Below are 23710 nucleotides of genomic sequence, written 5' to 3' on the forward strand. Positions count from 1 at the left end.
AGCGGAACCTGGCGGTGCCTAACTCCTGCTTAGGGCTGCAAAGTAGGCGTTTTTATTCCACGGTGGTCTGTATCTTTGAAAAAAATAAATTCTTCCCCAGGTGAAAGTTTTTATTTTGGAATTAGTCCAAAATAATTTTGGGTGTGATGTGTGAAAATCTGAACCTAATTTTTTCAGAGTTTTGTGTTATTCAAGGATGAAAAGAGGTACATTTAAAAATGTACTCCACCTTTTAAAAACGGACTGTGGCCATTATGGTGTTCACATAACTCAGAACAGCCCAGGCCATAAAATTAGGACTTGGCAGAAAGAGAGTTCTCAGGCAGAAGGTTAAATCGAGGTAAACTGAAGGGAGAGTTGGGCAGTGAGTGCAATTGTGGTGTTAGGAATCTACAAGGTGCCCTTTACCCTGGGAACATCGGATTCCCGGGGAGGGGGATGGGGAGGGAACTTCGGTTGCCTCTAGTCTTTCCTGGAGAAAAAAGTTCAATGAAGAAGCTGGGGCGCTCTGTGTGTGCACATTGTTTGCATGTGTCTGCGAATGTGCATGTCTATCTGCGTGCCTGTGTGTATGTGTGTGTGTGTAAATGCGGGTGTTTACCAGCGCATGAATGCCCCCGTGTCCACGTGTATCTGCGTGCATGTGCTTACACGCGTGTTCGTGTGTATCTGCATGCATGTCTCCGTGTATGTGCGCGCTCGCCCGCCCGCAGGCTCTGTGGTGAGGGCATTCCGAGGCGGAGTACGGCTGTCAGGGGACCTCTCCCACTCCACTGCAGTCCCTTCCCACTCACAGTGAACCGGTGCGCTGCCTGAGGTGCAGCCTAGACGCTTCCTGCAAAGTGTTGGCTCGGCACGGTAGAGGCGCAGGTAAAGGCCAAGCCCCGAAACGTGGCTCCGGGACAGTCACGTTCCCGCGCCTTCCCAGGACAACTGCCCAGGGGTGACCTCGAGAGGCGGGTGGAGCTAGGCCCACGGCGAGCCAGCCCGGGATCCCCGGCCTGTCCCTTTAACCCCGCCGCCGGGCGGGAGCACGTGAGCGGGGCTCCGGGTGGCACCCGGGCGCCGCCGCCGCCGAGGCAGTTGTATTTCGAACGCTGCCTCTGGCTAGCAGCCAGGCGCCTTGGCTCGGCGGTCCGCCTGGCCTCCCTCCTCCTCATACTTTTCTTCCTGCGCAACCCCCTCCCCTTTATCCGCCCACGATTAGAGGTGGGCACTCCCCCCACCACCACCCCCTCCCCAAGCGCAAGCGCGTGCACGCACACACACCACACACACTCACACTCACACACACTCACACACACTCATCCCACTTGAATCTTGGGGCAGGAACTCAGAAAACTTCCAGCCCGGGCAGCGCGCGCTTGGTGCAAGACTCAGGAGCTAGCAGCCCGTCCCCCTCCGACTCTCCGGTGCCGCCGCTGCCTGCTCCCGCCACCCTAGGAGGCGCGGTGCCACCCACTACTCTGTCCTCTGCCTGTGCTCCGTGCCCGACCCTATCCCGGCGGAGTCTCCCCATCCTCCTTTGCTTTCCGACTGCCCAAGGCACTTTCAATCTCAATCTCTTCTCTCTCTCTCTCTCTCTCTCTCTCTCTCTCTCTCTCTCTCTCTCTCTCTCTCTCGCAGGGTGGGGGGAAGAGGAGGAGGAATTCTTTCCCCGCCTAACATTTCAAGGGACACAATTCACTCCAAGTCTCTTCCCTTTCCAAGCCGCTTCCGAAGTGCTCCCGGTGCCCGCAACTCCTGATCCCAACCCGCGAGAGGAGCCTCTGCGACCTCAAAGCCTCTCTTCCTTCTCCCTCGCTTCCCTCCTCCTCTTGCTACCTCCACCTCCACCGCCACCTCCACCTCCGGCACCCACCCACCGCCGCCGCCGCCACCGGCAGCGCCTCCTCCTCTCCTCCTCCTCCTCCCCTCTTCTCTTTTTGGCAGCCGCTGGACGTCCGGTGTTGATGGTGGCAGCGGCGGCAGCCTAAGCAACAGCAGCCCTCGCAGCCCGCCAGCTCGCGCTCGCCCCGCCGGCGTCCCCAGCCCTATCACCTCATCTCCCGAAAGGTGCTGGGCAGCTCCGGGGCGGTCGAGGCGAAGCGGCTGCAGCGGCGGTAGCGGCGGCGGGAGGCAGGATGAGCGCACGCGGTGAGGGCGCGGGGCAGCCGTCCACTTCAGCCCAGGGACAACCTGCCGCCCCAGCGCCTCAGAAGAGAGGACGCGGCCGCCCCAGGAAGCAGCAGCAAGTCAGTACGAGGGCGCGGTGGGGGCACCAGCCCACCCCGTCCCCACTGCCGGGGCCCAGACACGCGCGGGGCGGCCGGAGTGCGGGAGCCCAGTCGCCGCGGCCGTCGCACACTGCCCGCCGGCCGGCCGGGGGGAGCGGCGCAGACCCCACGAGTGCGCCGCGCGGCCCCGGGGCGCCAGCAACCCTCCGGGCGGGGAGGTGGGGAGCCGCGGCGGGCGGCCCGGGGAAGGCGGGAGGTGGGGTCGGGCGAAGCGCGTCCTCGGACTTTCGCTATTGTGCACGGCCCCGAGTGGCGCGGTGTCGCCCAGTGACTGGAAGCGACCGGGATCCGACAAACCCGGGCTCGCAGGCGCTTTCCGAGTTGCTTTTGCAACTGCCCGGGAGGAAGGAGGTGCCGGGGACCCGGGCGCTTCGGCCGATCTGGGCTGAAGGGGCTAGAGTCTTGGGGGCCGGAGGCTCTTTCTCCCGCCTCCCGGGGCTGCTCGCGGGTCGGGGGCTGGCGCGCCGCAGCCGCCCCCTTGGCGCCCTCCTCCAAGCTCTCGGTGGCCCAAGACTCGCGCCCTCCCGACAAAGAACGCATGGAGACCCGGCTGCCTGGTCCTTTTTGGGCTCTTTAAATATGCGGCGGCCGCCGGAGGGAGCCCGGGGCAGGGGCTACGGGGAGCCTGGTTCCCCGCAGGACGGGGTTAACTCGCCCAGCTAAGGGCGCGTTGAAAGGAGTGTCCAAGAGAGTGCAGGGTAGCCAGGGTCGCTTCCTTGTCAGGGGCCCGGTCCCCCTTTTGCCCCTGGATCTCGCGCCTCAGAGCTGCAGCCATTAAATGCTCTTCTCCAAGGCCAGTGGCCGGGGGTTGAGTAGGGGACGATCGAGGGGCGCCCGGGACCCTGCGGAGTGGAGGGTTTTGTCTGCGGATGCAACCAATTAAGCGTGCAGCCGGCGCTTGCAGAGCTGCGCTCAGCGCGCAGGGCTGGGGGTTTTGTTCGCTGTAATTTCCAAGCCGCGGCGGGCAGAGTTGGAGCGGGATATGTCTATTGAGAACATTTAAACTCCACTTTCTCGGGCTTTAAAACTTGCTCTCTGCTTAGTCTTAAATCGCTTCCTTCATGGCAAACACGCCGATTAGAAAATAATCCTAGAGTCCCAAAGTTGTCCGAGAGCAAGGTGGGGAAACTGAACAATGTTTGCTTGCCAGTGCATTTTAGAAAAATTGAGAGTTGTACCTTTTTGAAATCATCAAAGGAAACAAGCCGATCTAGAGGCCCCTGAGTTTTCCCGCTCTGCCCAAGCGACACTTTACACCGCATTTGAATCCTGTTTTACACCTCCCAGGAAGTCTCTGCCCTCCCCCACTTGTTTCCCACCCGCCACCCAGTTCTAACTCACTAATTGCCCCCCCTCCAAAAAAAAAAAAAAAATCCAAAAGAAATTACAATGGGGTCTGGAGGTGATTGGATACTTTACCTTTGAGTTAAGGCAGAGTTCACAAAGAAAGAAAAATTTGTCTCCGATGTGTTTGCTCTCGATGTGCCCACTGGTGCTAGTGGTCCCACAGAAGCTTGCAGGGAACCTTCCCGAATTCTCTAAATGGGATGCGAATTTTCATTGAGGACGTTCATGGGTTTTAAGTTAATTAGTCTCACTTAATCACCGAATCTGAATGAAATGTGAATAGATGATTCACTGGATAAATATTTGGGATCTGGAATATTAATCATCGCATTCTCTTAACCACTTGAGTATTTACTACTTGGCATAGGAGCCATTTAAAGTTTTGCTAAACCAAGTGATTGCTTCCATTTCTCATTCCCAGACACTCCATTCCTCCTCGCTTTTACCTCCTTTTAGTTTTCTCCACTCCACCCCCATAAGAGTTTTCTCAAAAGAAAGTTTTGAAGAAAATATGTTTATTTTTATCAAAAGATATTTAAATTTAGACTGGAGGCCATGCCTGCATCTCCAAAAGGAAGTGGAGAATTGAAGCAATTAACTAGATGATTCAAGCAAAACCTCCCACCATAGATTTACTATAATTATTTGGAAATTTTAGGGGGAATGGAGTTATTTTGAACTGAAGAACTTGAATAATTGCTCCAGTATTTCACTCAAAATGTGTCAGTTGAATCATAATCCACCTAGAAGGCAGGTATACAAAGATGATTAAAGGCCACCTTTTCAATATGGAAGATTGTTGAAATATCTGTGATGGTAGCTTCGTATTTCTGTTGTTTGAAATGCTAGTATAATGCAGAGTGGTGTTCGTTTAAAATGCCTATTATTCCTATGAGTTGCCAAATGCATAGCCCTGTAAACTTTACACCTTAAAAGTATATGACTTTCTTTCTAGAACATGCCTCTTCAGTCTTTGTTACCATTTTAGGTTTGAAGTAGAATCTAGTTTTCATATACAAAATAGAGTTTCCTCTTTGAACCCTTGCATTAAAAGTATAGTTATTTCCCCTTTCTGTAAACTCTGTACCATCATCATCCATTTATGCTTGAACTGAACGTGTTCCAACAGCTCTTTTGAGCAGCACATGCAGAAAATATAGCTAAAGAGTCAGGGTCAATTTCTTTCAGACATTCTTGCCACAACAGCATTTTTTTTTCCCTCACAATTAGGAACCAACCGGTGAGCCCTCTCCTAAGAGACCCAGGGGAAGACCCAAAGGCAGCAAAAACAAGAGTCCCTCTAAAGCAGCTCAAAAGGTGAGATTTCTCAAGTCAAGCTCTCCTAACTTCATCAATGACTGACTACAGGAGCCTGCCTGTAACTTTCCCATTCTAACTCCGCAGCCAGGAATTTGTCCCAACTGGGTAACACAAGACTCATTTCTTACATTTAACATTAGTTAGATGCGAGTTAACCTTTTTTGTAAGCAGATGCTCAGCATAAAAAGTTTATGAAGATACTTAACAGTGTTGTTTTTAAACAAACAGCCACCAAATAATTTGAACCTTAAAACGGGTAGAAGTGAGGAAGGAAGGGGTTGCGGGGGGGGCGGGATGAAAATGACACAATTAATATTTGCACCAGTTGTAAATAGTTAAAAACAAATCAAAACTATAGATTTTGCCTGGTGGTAAAGTTTTTGCAATTTCCTCTGAAAAATGATAAAGATTGATTTACTTTGTGCTTATTACATGGCTACTGCAAACCAAATCCCCCTATTAAAGTACTTTGCCAAATAGACGATAATTAGAAGTAAATCTAGTTGTGGGATAGTGGAAAAATTCCATGAATTTTGCAGCTTTAATTGTGATAATAAAGTATACTGTTTGTTTTACAATAAACCTGCAGTATAGTATATCATAATCTCAAAATGCCTTTTCATCAAGTGACATAGAAATGTCTGAATTGGACAATGAGACTTTTTAAAACAAGTATTTGGCTCATTTAATATCTCTTTTTGGGCAGAATGGAACCCAGTTAAGTGTAATATTCAGTGTTTATCTTAATAAGTTTAAACTTGCAGTTTAAGATAACTTCAGGTTGGCTGTGTTTAAGCTAGCAAAGAGGAACTATGTCAGGGTTAATGCATGTATAGAGAAGTACCAGTCACTTTTTTGACTTTATAAATAAATTGGAAAAAAAAGTTTCTGCGTTGTATTTGTAGGTTTGTGTAGTAATTGAGAACAAAGTTTCAAAAATCAGAACTAAATTTGGATATACCTTTTCACCGGTTTTGGGTACTCCATGTACAGTATTTGTTAGAAAGGACTATATGCTCATCGTTTGGGGATTAATGTTTTGTGTGATTTTCTTTGTGACTGTGGGTACTAACTGTAATGTATGTAAACTGCCATAGCAACTAATGGTACATATAAAGTTATTTAGGAAGTTACTCTGAGTTCTTGTCTGTTTTAACAGTTTTGAACAGAGTTGAGGAGCATATTTTTAATATATTTAAATTTAATTGCTTCTTAGAGTTTAGATTTAATTGTTTCTTATTTAATCAATAAACTTTAAAATAGCTCTAAGTAACCTTGTTATTTAAAAATGGCAATATATAATCTGGTATTTTTAATATGAATACTTTACATTTGTTTCATTTTATCTCATTTATAAATTAACTAAAATGGACTGATTTTACCAAGGAGTTTTTCTATGTTGTGTAAGTGTGGAGTTTACCTAATTTACTTTTATTCTAAGGAGATGCACAAATGAATATCTTGTTAGATAGCTGACACGCATTTAAGCTGTGGTATAATTCCTCTGAAAAACACATCATGATAATATCTCCTAGGAAGAAATCTTTAAATTTCACCATAAATAAGTAATTTGAAATTTAATACTAAAAAGGAAAATGAATTGTCTCCCATATTTTACTATATTTCATGTTTTTTGGATGAATAGATAGAAACGCTCCCATCGCCTCCGCTTCATTTTAAAAAGCTTACCACTGACTAACAAAATTTGTATTGAGAAAAGGGAAGCTGAAGCTAGTGCCTAGTTTACCACCTAAAGCAAAATTTTTAAAGTTGATCTATTCCTAAGTAAGGGTTGATTTATTTTTAGTGACTCTAGTGACAGGCATTTGTAAATGACCCCCCTACGCCGCTCATCTTTCTGAAAATTCTTCATGTGTATGCATACATTATTCCAATTTCCAAAACAGAAGTAGGCTTTCTTTTTTCTAAAGATTCCTTCTCCAGAATCTTTCATTCTTTCAGACACAATTATTTCCTACAATGGTGTTATAAAAATCCCTCTTGTAATAAAAATGAATAAATACATTTGCCCATAACATGACTTATTTTTCTTCAGTTTTATAAATTACGCTTCATCTGGAGAAGAGAATACCTTGCAAAATAATGAATGACATTGATGAATCGTTCATGGCATGTGTAAACTTAAGGTATTTTCACTTTCAAATCAGAATTTGTTGAGTATGTTACTATTCTATATAAATATGATTTTCAAACATTTGTTTATTAAGCATATATTGTGTTCTAACAAAACATATATGTTCGTCAGGATTTTGCAATGCAAATCTTTTTAGAAAAAGTTATATTGTTCATAACATGTAAGATAAACATACCCTGTGAGACTGACCAGAATAGATATGAGAAGTCTTCTATGAGTAACAAAGTGAGTGTTTTCCTGTAAACTGAGACCCATCACAATGCAAAATACATTGCAAAGACTGGTAAGTATATGAGAAGAAAGAAGCCTAAAATTAGAGGAGCTGCAATGCACACTGAAATCCTGATGGTTATATACTTAAAATTTCTTGCTGCTTGGAGTTTCTTGACTTACAAAGTTTATATTTGGATTCAGTAATTGGCCTTGGGACATTTGAAAACAAAGCTGTTGATTTGAAAATTAACAGTGTGAAACTGGACAATGCATGCAGAATGTTGCAAGACCAAGTGAATGACTACTAAATTAGCCATCACTTCAATTTCAAACCATATTCAGTAGAAAATTGATTTATATAATATGTAAAACAAAGACATTTATAAGAACACAATTTCCTATGCTTGGAACTTTTGGAAGAGAAGATAATTATTCTTCAATCTACTTAATATTCCATTAAAACTAATTACTATGCATGACCATTGTGTAATGATTCTAGTCATTCCTCAGAACTCCAATCTGAGTGCTCAAAATTTGTCCCTGAATCAGTTTCATATAGTTACCTGAATAAAAGAAATCAGAAGTTAAAGTTTTCCTGAATAATTCATTTGTCCATGTGTGTATACGTCTGTGTGAGCATATCTTTACCCTTTTATTTATTTTTTAGTCTGAGGTACACCTATGACCAGTTATGTCTTAACTTCCTTTTTTGTTTTGTTTTGCTTTGCTTTGCTTTCCTGGTTGTGGTGGATGGAAATCTTTGCATTTTTACAGTTCCCAGATGGTTAGAGAGAAAGAAGTTATAATCTCCTTTAGTTTAGGGTTTTGTTGTACTTTTTTAATCATGACAGAATACTGGAGGGGTTGTCACTAATTCTTCAGTGTTGAAGGTCTCAGGTCAAATTCACCTTTAAGTTTTAAGCCAATTCTCATTCACATATTTTAGGAAGTTTTTTTCTGAGGTTGAATTAAATTTTATTGGAAGGAAAATGAAAATAAAAAAAAAAGATCTCAGGTGTGAGATAACCCTACTTCATCATGTCATATATTTGTTCACCACCCTTTTGACTTTAGGTGTAATGGACAGATCTAGGAAGCAAAGTGCAGAATGAAAATATCTAGATAAAGTAGTTATAGTTAAAATAATGTGTTCAGAGTAAATGTTTAATCTCTATGTTTGATTTGCTATAAAAAGAAGGCCTGAATTAATTAGATACTGTAAAGACTACTTCATGCTCCTTCTAATCATTTGCATTTCTCGAAATGTGGTTTGCTTTTCATAATCATTACCCACACCAATCACAGATATTTTAAAAAGAGAGAAGATAGTTTTAGTCACCATTTCAGAAAAATCATTCAGCATAAATGCTGAGTGAGGACAGAATTTTCTTCAGAATATAGTAGGCCTAATTAAAAGGAGAAACCAAAGACATTATTATTGGTGAGTTAAGGAAAGGTAACTTTGGAAGTTATCATATAATTCTGGCCTATGGTTTCTAAATTAAACTACTATGATTTAGTTTAATTCCTCTGTGTTTCAATGGGCAGGTAAGTTTTATTGTGGGATTCAGGGCCCTATCTGAGGATACAAATGAATTCAGGCGGATTCAGGGCCCTATCTGAGGATACAAATGAATTCAGCAGGTGAAATTAAGTAAAGTCCAACTGTTGTTCCATTATCTTGATATTTAGGCTGACTTACCTAAACAATTGACTAATTTTTTTCTTTCACTTTGCCAGGGAAGACAAAGCCTTACTTAATGCACCAGCACATTCTATCTGGTAATGCTTTTAATCATCACAGATTATGATCCAAATATGGGAGATTGAAATACATTTGAATTATCTTATGAAGTAATTTTATTTCAAGGGACCTATAGTTCTACTTCTCTGGAAGCTCTCATCCTTCTGAACTCTTCTGAACTTGAAGTCTCCTCATTTCTCTGGCTGACCTACATTCCTGGCTCATTTTTATCTCAAGTTCTCAACAGATCATTTTGCTAAGGAGATAGAATATACCAGATTGGTATTCTATTGCATTTCAGTTCTTTCTTGAGAATAGATGGGTGCTGAAGAGGATTTTATGTCAGTTAAATCATTCAAACATGTCTTGTCTTGTTAGTTGACTTTCTGCAGTTTACAGAGCAGAAGGCACAAAGTGGAAACTGAATTAATTTCACTGATTCTGAAGGTTTTAGTTATGAATCTTTGTTCTGCCAACCAAGAGAAAAGGGGAAATAGAGAACTGTTATTTGTTAGGGCATTGCATTATTTCATATTGTTTTAATACACTGAGCAATTTTGAATGGCATATTCTATTTAAATTAGGGAAGAGTAGTGCAGGCATTCTCTTTTGTCTAGGATCATGTTTGCTCAGAAGGTAACTCCTGTGATCAATAGCAATGATCTCTTGTATCATTGCTATTGATTTTTATGATTACAAAGAAGTAGAGAGAAGATTTGGAGGAGAAGAATCTTAAACTTTGAAAATGATAACTTTGCCTGTCATTTGGCTTTGGTTTTAATTTAGTGTTTGTATACATGAAGATAAGCATGTGCAAAATAAGGACACCAGAGTTGACAGTAAAGGCTAACTTGGGTAATAGGCAGGAACTACAATGGGTGATGGAAATTACTTATATTTTCTATTGGAAAATATATTGTGATAGCAAATTGTAATGTCTCTTCAAGGCTAAAAGTGTTGCATGTAAAATTAGGAAACTTACAGAACTGGATTATCAAAAAGGTAAAATGAGAATTTCCTCAGTACTTAGTGGGATTGATTCGTAGAGTTGATTTTGATATCAGTGTACATTGATTTATACTGTTTATATTTTTAAAAATAGCAACTGAAGGAAATAAAATGTGCTTTCTAGGCTTTGGATAGTGGGCTTCATGCAAATCAAGATACATGCAAACAAGACAGGGCACCATCACACCCAAATATTTTTCTAGTTTTTTTTTTTTTTGGTACAGATGCACTGATGGATTTGCAGTGGGGGATTTCTGGCTATATCACAGTACATAAAAAAAATGATGAGAGAACTTGTAATAGCAAAAAATTAATAGCCACCTAAACCTGACCCTGAAGTCAGAATTGAATTATTCTTAGTTTCCAACCTCTGCTCTTGTCCATGTGTTTATAGGAAACTTGGAAATACATTACTTTTAACTAATTTGATTTTCACCCTAGAAGGTTATCTTTTATTTTTTAAATTTTTGAATGGCAGTTTTATTTTATATGGGAATAGCTCTCCAAAGAACAGACACTTCACTGCATTGAAATCAGATTGGGTCTCAGTTCTACTACCTGTGAACATGGGCAGGTTGCTTAATCTCCCATTTGTAAAACGGGAAGTAACACCTGCCCTGCCCTACTGAAGTAAGATAATGCTTGGAAAGTCACTTTGGAAACTAAGAAAATTGGTAAGTATTATATTTGTGGGTAGCATTTTAAAATAAGGGGAGGGAAAAGAAATTACATTTGACTAAGTGCTAAATGCCATAGCTTTTGTCAGGCACTTTATATATATGTTAGCTCCTTTAATCCTCTGATTTAGGCATTGTGGTCTTCATTCCACAAATGAGAAAACTGTGATTCAAAGATGTAAACAGGACATATCTGATATTCAACTCTGGTAAATGGTAGCACCTGGGTTTGAATTCACTTTAATTCTAAAGCTTATACTCTTTCCACTACCATGTGCTGAATGTTCTGTAAAATATTTGTTACAAGGTAGATTTCTGTTATCTCCAGTAACCTGAAATGCAGGTTGGAAATTACGCTTTGGGAAACCTTTGAAGGGCCACTCCAAAGGTTATAAAGGGATTGGAAATGTATGCCTTCTGCGACTGATACCCACAAGACTTCTGGTTCCCAAATAATATCATGGGGCTATGTCTTTGGGAATTGTAACACATCCAGAAGTTTTCTTCTTTGCTAAATGAGAGGGCTAGGTGAAATTATCTCTAGTTTTACTGAACTCTAGAATTCTGATGATAAGAGGGAAATAAGACACACATATAAACACTTTTCCTTCCTTTCCTCTTGCCCTCCCTCCCTCCCTTCTTCCTCCTTCCTTTTTTTCCTTCCTTCCTTCTTTCCTTCCCTCCCTCACTCCCTCCCTTCCTCCCTTCCTCCCTCCCTCCCTCCGTTCCTCCCTGCCTCTCTCTTTGCCTCCCTCCTTCCCTTCCTTCAACAAGTATATAGTGAACACCTCCTGTACACGAGGCACTAGTGCTAAGCACTGTTTTCAAGCTCAAGAGATGTATTTGCTAGTGAATTTCTTTCCTAATTAGTTTTTAAAATATGCAGTACATTGAAGAGCCTGGAGTACAGAACTTCTTAGAGAAAGAAATAATTATATTTCCCATTTAACATTTCTCCTAATCTTCATGGACTTGCTTCTAAATATATCATAAAATTAAGTGTACAGTTTTGAATCTGAAGTTTAAAACATAAAAATATTAATGAGGGCAAACAAGGGAGAAATGACACTTTTAATGAGATATGATTGTTGTAAATATTCGCATAATAGTGCTGGTAACAGTCTGAAATTTCAGTTCTTACCAATGAGAATTCCGACCATATCTCCCTTTTCTCTCTTGATGTGAGCAATAAATAGTGAGAATTAGTTATGCCTCTGTTATACATGGGTTTGTAGTATAAAGCCAAATTCTATTCTGGCAAAGGAAAACCAAATATACACTTCTACAGTATTGCATATGTTAAAACAAAACAAGCCTCCTGAATGTTTTGTTTGTCTTTTTTGAAAAATAATATCCTGAAGAGCATTAAACACAGGAAAACAATATTAAAGCTGATGTTTTCCAATATGTAAAAATCCTGGATCTAAGCTGGTTTACAAACTAAAACCCTAACTTGTTTTGCAGCCTTTGTGGAGTTTGATTAGAATGATTAAATAATGTGGGTTTTAAAGAACAATGAAAACCTCCCAGATTGACGCCACACAGCACAGCTAATGTGTTTCTTCTAGATGTAGTCTCAGAAGAGGGTTTCAGTTTACATGTAACACTGGCCTGAACGACCAAGGAGCAAGTTTGCTTTTAACAAGTCCGAGTGATAATCGTGATATTTTGCCCTTTAGTTAATGGTGCAAATTTTATTTCTCAATAGGCTTTTTGTAAATGAGATGCTCATTTAAAAGTCATCTTATTTGCAGGGCTTTTTCTGTTTTTGAGAGATTTGCTTTCTCTGATTTTGAAATACAGTGAAACTCTTTCAGAAAAAAAACCTCTCTCTTCAATAGATTTTAGATACACCCAGATCACATCATGGCCCCTGAAACATAACAACCGTGCAGAAAAAGCCTGGTGTAGCACTGTTAACTTCTAAGGTCAATAGGCTCCTTCTCCCACCCTGACTTCACACCCCCTTTTCAATAAAAAGGATTTCTATTTTCCATGTTTGTGTAATTTACTACTGGGTTAACTGTGCAATCTTACAGTTGCTTCCAAAGATTAAGTCAGATGCTGCTTCTGTGCTAGAGAACTCCACACTCATGTATAACTCACTATGCAATAGCCAAAGGGATCCTTAAAAGCCTCATTCTAAAGGTGACAGATGGGTGTGAAGGAATACTTGCATTGACCAAGGCTTCTGTGAGAGGAAACTAACTTGAAGAAAAACTCCCTTTCTGGGAGGCAGAGGCGGGCGGATTACGAGGTCAGGAGATCGAGACCATCCTGGCTAACATGGTGAAACCCCGTCTCTACTAAAAATACAAAAAATTAGCCGGGTGTGGTGGCAGGCGCCTGTAGTCCCAGCTACTTGAGAGGCTGAGGCAGGAGAATGGAGTGAACCCGGGAGGCGCAGCTTGCAGTGAGCAGAGACCGCGTCACTGCACTCCAGCCTGGGCGACAGAGCGAGACTCCGTCTCAAAAAGAAAAAAAAAAAAAAAGAAAAACTCCCTTTAAGGGTTCCATCTAGTTAGGAGTGAAAGAACACTTATGGAGCACCTCATGGGAGGCAGGAACTTCTAAGTACTTCTAGGAATGATGTCTCACAGGAGGAGTCATCTCCATTGCACGGATGAAACCAAATTGAGGTCTTCAAGGACCTGCCCAAAGTCATAAAGCTAAAATGGAAGAGCAGGAATTGGAATCTAAGCGTTCCAAGGTAGAGTCTGTGATCTTCTCAGGGCACCTCCCTCTCCATGAGGCAATGCTCTGAAGAGGGTATTATTTACTTGACACTCTGGGCTTTCGCTAAATTCATGCCCTTGGGACTGAAGGTAAGACAATGCCACTAACCTCTGACAACAAATGATTCCTTTGTGGAGCCATTCAAAAGTGATAATAAACAATGATTCAGAGTGTCCAAATCAGATGGTTAGATAGAACCCCTAAAGGCTACCAGGTTTTCTTTTGTCCTGGGAAATTAACTGAATCAGTGACAATTTTAGTTTCCTAAAGTATTTTTTTATGGTAGCAAATGCTTGTATACTACCGGGTAGTAGCATTGTTAAGAGGCTAGGAGCACAGTCTTTACAGTTAGACAAAACTGGGTTCAAATCCCAGGTCTGCCACTTACCTGCTTTGTTTGTGACCTTGAGCCAGTTGTATACCTAACCTATCTAAGACTTAGTTGTTCATCTACAAAATAAGAGGAATAATAATACCCACTTTATAAGGCTGCTGTAAGGATTAACGTAACACATGTGACTGACAATCGAGTGCCTGGGATATTTTAAATGCTCAATATTTGTGAGTTAACATTACAGTCATATAGAGTTTGCGTTAATTCATGGGACCTGTTGGATAGTAATGCCAGATCAGGGAGATACTATTTGGTGAGAAATGTTGTGGCTTATTTTATCTCTCATCTACCTGTCTGTCTATCTGCCTATCCATCTATCTGTTTGTCAACTATCATGTAAAGCTATTTGTTTTTACCAGGCAGATTGAAGAGAAAAAGAGGAAAGTTTCATTTGGCAGTGTAGACAGTCAATATCACTGTACCAAGTACCCCCACCGGCTGCTAACTCAGATAACAAAAGTAAAATGTGGAACAAGGTATCCTGGTTCAAGTTACCTGTATTTGTGTGTTAATATAGCCATGGATGATTCTTATACATGAAACAATATGTACTAAGTTTTCTTTATCCTAAAAAGCAGGAACACGTTTTTATAGATGTATGTGATATGTGTGTGTATTGGTGTGTTGTTGTGTATGAAGATTGGACTAGGGCTGACAAAAACGGAAAAACTAATTGCTTTATAAATAATGTTAACAACTGTGATATCAGAAAAATCTTCTGTGAAGTAAAGCAATGAAATAAACTCTCAAGATAGAAATGTATTCATGTTAAGTGTGGGATTATGGTTAATAAAGTACATTTTTAATTAATCATTATTTCTAGGCACATATAGTTTTAATCACTGGGACAAACTGATGATTTCTGCCTGCTTTTTTTTCCTCTGCTTTAGGTGAACTGATTGACAGGTGATTGTTTCAGGCAAGGAACATTAAATTAAACATGTAGAAGTGTGCAAATATTTGTTATTTTGAATTAGAATGCTTGTGTATTCTTTTTCACATTTATACTTGCTTTTGACTACCAATATAGGTAGAAGAGCTTTGTAAATTGTAAAGTAATATGTCAATATTAATTTTTGCAACTTTAGTTGTGACATGGAAAGAATCTTGATCATCTTAAGAAATATTAATTTTCTAAAATACTAACTTATGTAGTTACAGAATGTGGGGATAATGTTTTTAATATGGACAGAAATAAAAGCAAAATAGCTTTTGAAAAAGCATTTTCATGTATTTCAGAAGAGATCACTACAGGGGGTGTCTTTTAGGGCGAGGGGTTGCATAGATACCTCTTTACATCATGCAATGAAGAAGAATCTACTCAGAAATGTGGAAAAAGATTAACCTTAGAGGAGACGAAGTTTGTTAAAAAAAACAAAAAAAAAAAAACCGATACGTCATCTGCAAAGCAGAACATTCTTACTTCAAATGTGTCCCTTGGTGCAGTACTTATAAACAATGTCAGGTAGAAAACTATAATGACTTCCTTTTTCATTTGCAGAAAGCAGAAGCCACTGGAGAAAAACGGCCAAGAGGCAGACCTAGGAAATGGGTGAGTAATAAGATATAATTTTTCTTCTTTTTTTTAAAGAAAAATTTCTGTTGTATTAAATGAGAAAAGTTTTATTTCGTCGATTACATGAATTTCCAACTTCTGGTTTGATGAATCTTTGAAAGGGTTAAGTCAAGAGACAAATTATCATCACTTCCTACCACTAGGCTCCAGGTGTTTACGTAGAACACTTTTCTTTCCTGAAGGTGGACTCATTTTTCTATCTCTTATCAACATCAAAAGAGGCTCCACTCTTCCTTCAAATAGGGTAACAATGAGATGATTTGTTCAGTAGATTGAGTAACTAAAGTTAAAGGGTATTATGAAGCCTTGGAAGTTGATTACAAATGGTGTTAAAATTCATACACAATGTGTATGTGATAACTTTTTAACGTTTTTCTTTTTTCTTTTTCTTTCTTTTTCTTTTTCTTTTTTTTTTTTGGTTTTCTCCATGGCTTTTGTTTGGACACATCTCATTTTCTAGATGGTTTGTGTTTTCTTTTTCACATGGCTTTGTTAGGAAGCAAGGGTTTATTTTGAGTTTTTCTTGCTTCCCTTAGTAGTCATTCTCCACATGCAAACATTAGAGATAGCTGTATCCATACAAGTGCACCTGATCCTATAGGCACACAGATCCTGTATCTTTTGAGGCCAGAAATTCAGTGGTCACTGAAGAGCTTTGCTAATTTTACTGCTTGAACTTTGTTCCCTTGTTTGCTGTGTTACCCATGTTCTTCTGGTCTGTCTTTCCCACTGACGGAGAAAAGAAGTCCTAAAAATGAATGAAATCGTTTCTCAAGAAGGATGAGGGCATCCTTTATACCCAGTGTTGCATATGATGGGTTCTTTGGCTTTGCTTTTTCCTCTTCCTCAATTCTTTCTTCATGCTTCAAATTTTAAAAAGATTTTTTTTTTCTGTTATGCTGGATTATATGTTCCTGTTTGCCATTCCTTTCTCCTCTAGAGTTCTGCATCACTTTCTATTTATACTTTGGTATTGCCTTTCTTTTAATTTATTCATCTTATATTTTTCCTCTGCTCAACATGTGTTGGGATTAGATTTCTTAGCATAAGGAAATGGGATGATCTTTAGATGAAAAACATCTCAGTGTTAAAATGTGACCTTAAAGTAAGGATATTTCATTCAACCTTCTGTTCATTAAATTAGTTCTCTCCAAACCTACTTATCAAGTGGTGATCATCTAGCGTGCTTGATTACCTTTAAAGTTAGGGAACTTGCTACCTCTCAAGGCTGCCTCTTTCTTCTAGGAAAGCTCTGCACATTAGAAAATTGTTCCATCTGACTACCTGTAACTTCCGTCCACTGTCTCTAGGTCATCCTTCTGGGAATATATAGAGTAATTGTTTTCACTTTCACTCATGATAGCCCTGCAAACGGTTGAGGGCAATTAACACATACTGTTTGTATGTATCTGTGTTTGTATGTAACACATACTCCAGTTTTCTCATTTTTTCCCCATAAAGGAACATTCTTGTTATTCTTTTCTGAACATGTTTGTTCGTTAATCTTTTGAAAGATGTCACCTAGAACTAAATATCATATTTCAAGTGTGGGTTCCATAAACAGTGGGTTTATCACCTTCCTTGTTGTACATATGGTTCCAGTTATCGATTGCTGCATAGTTAACCACTCTAAAACTTAATAGTGTAAAAAAACTATTTTATTATGCATATGGATTCTTTGGGTCAAGGATAGGCAGGGTAGAGCAGAAAGTCTTGTCTCTGCTCCATGATGTCTGGGGCCTCCACTGGGAAGACTCAAGCATCAGGGGATGACTTTAATACTTGGGATCCAGAATCTGGAGCTGTTTCACTTACAAATCTGGTGCTTTATCAAGATTGGCTGGAAATCTGGGCGGATCTGGGAGTGCGTGCACTGGATCACCCATACATGGCCTCCCCAGGATAATCAGGCTTCTTACATGCACTCAGGACTACCTCTGGGAATTTTCTGGTAACTGAGGAGGAAGCTGCAAGGCCTTTTTTGCCTTAGACTCGGAAGTCAAAAACTGCTGCTTCCATTATACTCTAATGAGCACATTGTTGACTAAGTTGATACTGGCATACATATCAAATAGAGATCTGCTGTTTTCTAAGCATCAGAACTCTGAAAGGACATCCCATACCATTGAACTAATTAATAAGAAAGACGTGTATAATCTTTCTAATAGGCAACATAATAGAAAATAGATGAGTTCTTTGAAGCCATGGGATTAATGTGGCTAAAATGAAATTAAATTGCAAGCGAATACAGTGGCAGTTAACCAGCAAACTAACCTCCATCATATGGGGCCTCTTAACTCTCTCAGCCTTTCATCTCCTCTGCCCTTGGGCTGTCCTATAATGGTCACCAATTCACCTCCATAGGTTAGAGTCCTGTCTTCTCCGAACCTTCCTATGGCTCCACATCTGGCCAGCTAGTTAATTACAGCCTGCCCTAGTACTTCGAAGTCATTCAGTTTACATCTACCTTTCTTTACAGTTTTCTTTCTCACCACACATCCTTAAACAGTTGATGATTCAGCCAAGCAGGAGTAAACTATAGAGCAATTAAAGGATATATATGTTTTTTTTCTTAACGGATTCTTGCTAATTTAGGGGGGATCTGGATTTCAGGCATCAGATCTTCCTGCTGGGTAAGAAGCACATGTGAGGCCCCCACCACAGAAATCCTTGCCTTTCTGAGAATAGCTGGGCCATTTTCTTTGACTCTCCTGGTTTCTAATTTTTACTGGCTGTGAGAATGGAAAATATTATGTGGTGAATTGTTACAAGTCCCTGATTTGGTCCCCAAAGAAGAGTTGTTCTACTGAGAAGAGGAAATAAAAGGAAATTGTATATTTTTTCTAGACAGTGTGTTTCCTCTTTGCTTGTATATCTTCTGTTGGGTAGAGTATGCAGCCAGTCACAGCAAGGCATTCCGTTCAATGGCATTCTTTGCTGGAAAGCTTGTGCTGAAGAAATAAATCATTGCGTTTTCCATAGGAAATGGGCTTATACTTTATAGCAAGTTCAATTCTTTCCAACAGTGTCATTCACCGATTTCCTTGAGTTAGAGATATATTTTTGAACCGACTGGATTCATTAGGTATATGGGTTAGAAGCCAAATTGTTCCCCTTTTATTCTTGTGGGATATTTTGCTTTGTTTTAAAGTTCTTGTGCTTCTAAAACTTGTTCCAGTAGATATTATAGATTCATGTAAGAGGCCTGGGAAAAGATACCTACCGAGGAATCCTCTGATCTGATGTAATTGGGATCCATATGGGTAGGTGTGGGAGAGAAACTTGCATCAGTCTTGCTTTCAGAGGGGATGAAGCATTGGCCAATTCAGTGATCTAACGAGTGTGTTAACTAGATTTGCTTAAGAACACTTCTATTGTTTACTTTAATTCCCTTCATCTTTTTTTTTTTTTATCCCCCTAGTTTGAACTGGATTTCAGATCTATTGTTTTTATGAGGTGGTCTGATTTTCATGTGTGTGCGTGTGTGTGTAGAAGAGGCTAGAGGTAAATTGGGTCTCTTTTTTTCCTGGCTTTTTATAGTTAAGAGCTCAGGCTCTGGATTCAGATGGCTTGGGTTCAAATTCTGGTCCGTCACTTAGCTAACTGGAGTCTTAAGAAAATCACATGACCTTTAAAGGTCCAGTTTCCTCATCTGCAAAAGGTATATTTCTCATAGAGTTGTAAGGATTAAATGAGATAATGCATGCAAAGGGCTTAATAAAGAGCATGGCACATAGGTAGTGCTCAGTAAATGTTGGAAATTATGATTAATTTCACTGTACACTTTCATTTTGACATTAGCTGTAGGCTAAACCTTAATTACTTACAGCCACCAGTAGTTACACATAGAATGAAGTAACAGAGTTATATGTCAGACTAACCAAGTACCCTTGACAGTATCATTATGTCCTCAATATATTTATGCTGAATATTAATCAAGTTTAAGAACTGCTTATAAATAATACTAAAGAACATTTTAATTCTCTTTGCTATTAAGGAGGAGTTTTACATTGCAGCTTAGAAGCCTTTCTTCCAATAGCAGAGATTTGGTGTCATGTGGTGTTCATCAGTTTGAAAAGAAGTATTTCTGCTGTTTGCCTCAAGATGTACATACAGAGATGTGCTGATTCTCAGAACTTCTATAGAATTCCATTAGCCAGTCCTGCCAATTGAAATTTGGCATTTAATTATTTGCATTTTTCTATTCTTGCCTAGGAAAGGAGCTCGTCACATACCTAGTTTAGTGATGGAAAGTATTTGGAGAAAGTTTTAGAGAGTGGGGCTCAGGCTCAAGAATACAATGAAGTAATAAAGTTGTTAACCTCATGTATAAAATCCTCCATCCAGATGTTGCTTAGTGATGCAGCTAGTGCTTCTGGAGGAAAAGAAGCAAGAACCAAATAATGAAGACTACATCAATGGGAACAAGTGATACTTTTAGGTGTTTTGTTCTCAGAATATTTTAAAAGAAAGGAAATTAACAACAGAAGAAAAATATTTCCCTATATGAATTAATGGTTTTTATAAGAAAAATATCTTTCTGGAGATACTAAGATTGACCTAGAAATTGATCCAAGGACCAGATGCTTAAAGTTCACTTCAATTGGTCACTAGAAAGATCCCAGCAATCCCCAGCTGGTTTCTCAGGCTGCTGATTCCCTTTATTTGGTAATGGGGTGTGTGCAGTACGTTGATTAAAAAATATGCATTTCCATTCCATTGCTTTTGAAGGGGGGCAGTTGTCTTTCTCTTATTAAAGAGCTTGTGATACACAGGAAAGTGATGTAATTTTATATATTAGTCAAACGTGAGGATTTTAGATAAGACAGCAAGGGTTTTTTTCCCCTAGTTTGTAGAAATCTAGAAATTTAAGTGATGATTTGAGGATCGAGAAGGGAGAACTGAATCAAAATAAAATCTACTACACACATTCTTTGGTTTTGGAATTCTTTGGCTTTATTCTAAAGATCCCAAGCATTAATGCATTGAAGAACCCGGAAATCTGATTTTGAAGCTAAAACATTAAGTTTTACATGTCCATTACTGTTTCCCTCCAGAGAGGTTTGCTACTTACACACACACACACACACACACACACACACACAAGCACACACACACACACAAAACAAAAACTTTTAGCTGTTTGTAATTTAAGACTTTCCTTGTTGAAAGTGGCTGGGCATGGTGGCTCATGCCTGTAATCCCAGCACTTTGGGAGGCCAAGGCGGGCAGATCACTTGAGGCCAGGAGTTCGAGACCAGCCTGGCCAACATGGTGAAACCCCATGTCCATCAATAATACAAAAACTACCTGAGTGTGGTGGCCCATGCCTGTAGTCCCAGCTATTCAGGAGGCTGAGGTAGGAGAATTGCTTGAACCTGGGAGGCAGAGGTTGCAGTGAGCTTGGTGATCATGCCACTGCACTACAGCCTGGGCAACAGAGCAAGACTCCATCTCAAAAAAAAAAAAAAAAAAAGAAATATATAACTGCAATGTTTAGAAAGGGATATCCAATAATGCAGATTGAAGATAATTGCAACTTTGTACTGGAGTCAGAGGGGAAGAAATAACTTTGATATGACATCAAAAACTGTCTGCTAATGGAATGTGTGAAGGTGAAATCATTTTCCCTTAGACCCTTGCCATTATCACGTGCTTTAAAAAACAGGAGATGCTCTTTTTAAAGCAACTGCATTTTTAAAATACATGCTTAGTAATTAAATATAAATTTGCTGATGCATATAATGCATTCAAAGTTGGTAAGTAATATTTTCTGAAACTATCTTTTCCTTTGCAATATTTTATGATAAAAATAGAGTACTTTTCAAATTTTTTCCCTATGGGGAAAAGTAGCTTAATCTTATTTTAATAGTTTACCACAAAATTCACTAAAGAGATTATTTAAAATTAAAAGATTAAATATGAAAACACTAATAAGTCATATCTAAAAGTGAAGAATTGAATTTGATCATTCATGTTTTGATTCAATACTAACATCTTTTTCATTTGTTTTAATATGTAAGTGCTATTCTTAATTATTCTGTTAAATGAAGACTTTCAAAAAAAGAGATTGATAATCTGCCCTACTTGGTCAGCCAGTTCATCCAGTTTAGCATGGCCAACCTCTACCAGACCCTAACCATTTAGGATTATAAAAACATTGACTGCAGAGTCTGAAGCTCCAGTGGCTTTGCTGCTGTGCCAAAATAGCATCGACTATCACCAAGGAAGAAGAGATTTTTCTCACTTGTGTGGAGTGGCAAATTCTAGACAGGAGGTAGTTCATAAAAATATCTTATTTCTCCATATGCTATCATCAGATCAATAGAGTCCTGGCCAAGACAGTAATCTCAATTTTTAATTCTAATAAAATGACAAATGTAGAATCAGTGACCATTTTGTATGACAACAAATGTATGTAAGACTTTCCTTACACAGTGTACTATCCCTACTCCCATACACATATTTACCTACATTCACCTTACTGTAAGTATTTATGGATGGTAGTAAATATTTCTAAAAGGTTGGAAATCCCCATGCTGTATATTAATAAAATTAATATGCCACGTTTTTTTAACTAGGTAAACAAGTAAAATGATTATATTCCAGGAGAACATTTTTGTTGTGTTTTTAAAGGTGGAGGCTGCTTTTATAAGCGTTTTTGTTTTTGTTTTGTTTCGTTTTGTTTTGTTTTCGAGACAGTTTCGCTCTGTCACCCAGGTTGGAGTGCAGTGGCAAAATCTCAGCTCATTGCAGTTTCTGCCTCCCGGGTTCAAGTGATTCTCCTATCTCAGCCTCCTGAGTAGCTGGGACTATAGTCCCACGCCACCATGCCTGGCTAATTTTTGTTTTTTTAGTAGAGACGCAGTTTCGCCATGTTGGCCAGGCTGGTCTTGAACTCCTGACTTCAGGTGATCCTCCCACCTCAGCCTCCAAAAGTGTTGGGATTACAGGCGTGAGTCACCACTCACGGCCTTTAAGATTTTTTTTAAAAATCAAGGAATTCCTGATTCTAAACTCTTCAATACTTGACACAAACATTTAAACATTTTTGACAAAAGATGGGATGAAATCAAGCCTACTCCTTGTATTCCAGATTGAAAAAAGGACCTCTGCGTTTTGATGGGCTGAATACCTTTGGGCAGGTTGCTTAATTTATCCGTGCCTTTTCTCATGTCTAAGTGCCTGACAGGAACATTCTGTCCATAACTAATGGCTGTCAAGCATTTATGGTTGTAAAACACAAAAACCTTTATTGCTCCAGCCAGCTCTATCATCCAGGGACTGATTATTGAGTTTGTGATGATCCAGCCTCTTGTCCCCTTCTTTGCTTTGTTTTCTCTCCTCCCCCCTGCTGCCTGCCCTTTGGCCATTTCACTGCTCATTAGCGCCTCCACCAGATGGGGGGCAGGGTCAGGAACAGGGGGTCAGCTCTGGTAAAAGGCTTGGTAAGAAGGAGGCTGAGAGTAACAGCCAACATAAGGTTTTCAGATTATCTACATCCAGGCTCGCCCCCAACCCTGTCCTCAGGAATCACTGAATGCAGCCATGACACTGAAATTTGTTTTTCATTCATTATTTTTTCATTCTTACAATAAACGTGGTTTTATAAGTTAGTTAAAAAGTCTTTTTCAGGATGCCGTAGTAAACAAGAGTCCCTTTTGAGCATTTCCTTAGTAAACGATGAATGGCTGCTGGTCAAGCTTGTTCTGGCAAGTCTTTAGCCTCTGTTCAGATTCAGAAGAATGGCATCAAATCTATGCTTACATTAGACTCAGGTTGTGGAATGTAGTTCTTTCAATTCAGGTTTAGTGAATTTGTCTTATGATGCTGAAAGAGTCCTGTTTGGGTGTTAAGAGGCCACAGAGCTAACCCTAACTATATGACCAGGGAAAGCCCGTGTTATCACATTGTACTGTAATTTCAGTGCATTAACTCAGAAAATGCACCTCGAGTGCCTGTTTAAACGTGATGTTGTGCAGAAGGAACAGCATGTACAGGACAGAGATAGAGACGGAGGCTACTGAAACACTTTTTTTGTTGTTGTTGTTCACCTATTTGGTTGCTTGTCTCTTTCTTGGCTGGATCATTTAAACCCTAGAGTTCCAGTTCTGAGACCCTTTGATTTTGTGATTTTCCCATTTGTCTAAACATTTTGCCAAAGCCTTCTGACACGATTATAAATCAAGTCTGTGCTGGGTCCTAGGGATGTCAAGGCTGACAAGATAGGTGGGGCTGCCTTTGGGGAATTTATAGTCTGGGGA

At 40.1% G+C, this 23710-nt stretch overlaps 1 protein-coding gene and 1 pseudogene across 6 annotated transcripts in view, besides 1 other annotated feature; one reads left to right on the forward strand and one right to left on the reverse strand.

Moving 5' to 3' along the window:
• RPSAP52 (ribosomal protein SA pseudogene 52) overlaps positions 1–3827 on the reverse strand; it is a 68955-nt pseudogene extending 65128 nt beyond the window's left edge. Inside the window, exon 1 of the transcript NR_026825.2 lies at positions 3696–3827. The product of NR_026825.2 is annotated as a ribosomal protein SA pseudogene 52 (transcript). The remainder of the gene's footprint in view (positions 1–3695) is intronic.
• HMGA2 (high mobility group AT-hook 2) overlaps positions 1313–23710 on the forward strand; it is a 141832-nt gene continuing 119434 nt past the window's right edge. For 3 of the 5 annotated variants that reach the window (NM_001300918.1, NM_001300919.1, NM_003484.1), the window contains exons 1-3: positions 1313–2234; positions 4854–4940; positions 15372–15422. In NM_001300918.1, coding sequence (NP_001287847.1) covers positions 2124–2234; positions 4854–4940; positions 15372–15422 — 249 coding nt within the window. In that variant the 5' untranslated portion in view covers positions 1313–2123. Of the gene's footprint in view, positions 2235–4853; positions 4941–15371; positions 15423–19443; positions 20377–23710 lie in introns of those variants that run through there. The other 2 variants (NM_001330190.1, NM_003483.6) reach the window with 2 other exon arrangements.
• Positions 2456–3063: an enhancer, noted in NCBI's record as "H3K27ac hESC enhancer chr12:66219383-66219990 (GRCh37/hg19 assembly coordinates)". NCBI's record gives its function as "activates a minimal SCP1, AML or CMV promoter by ChIP-STARR-seq in naive H9 embryonic stem cells {active_cell/tissue: H9 hESC(naive)}" and the evidence as "EXISTENCE:reporter gene assay evidence [ECO:0000049][PMID:30033119]".

This window comes from Homo sapiens, chromosome 12, assembly GCF_000001405.40.
Source record: "Homo sapiens chromosome 12, GRCh38.p14 Primary Assembly".
Classification (NCBI taxonomy): domain Eukaryota; kingdom Metazoa; phylum Chordata; class Mammalia; order Primates; family Hominidae; genus Homo; species Homo sapiens.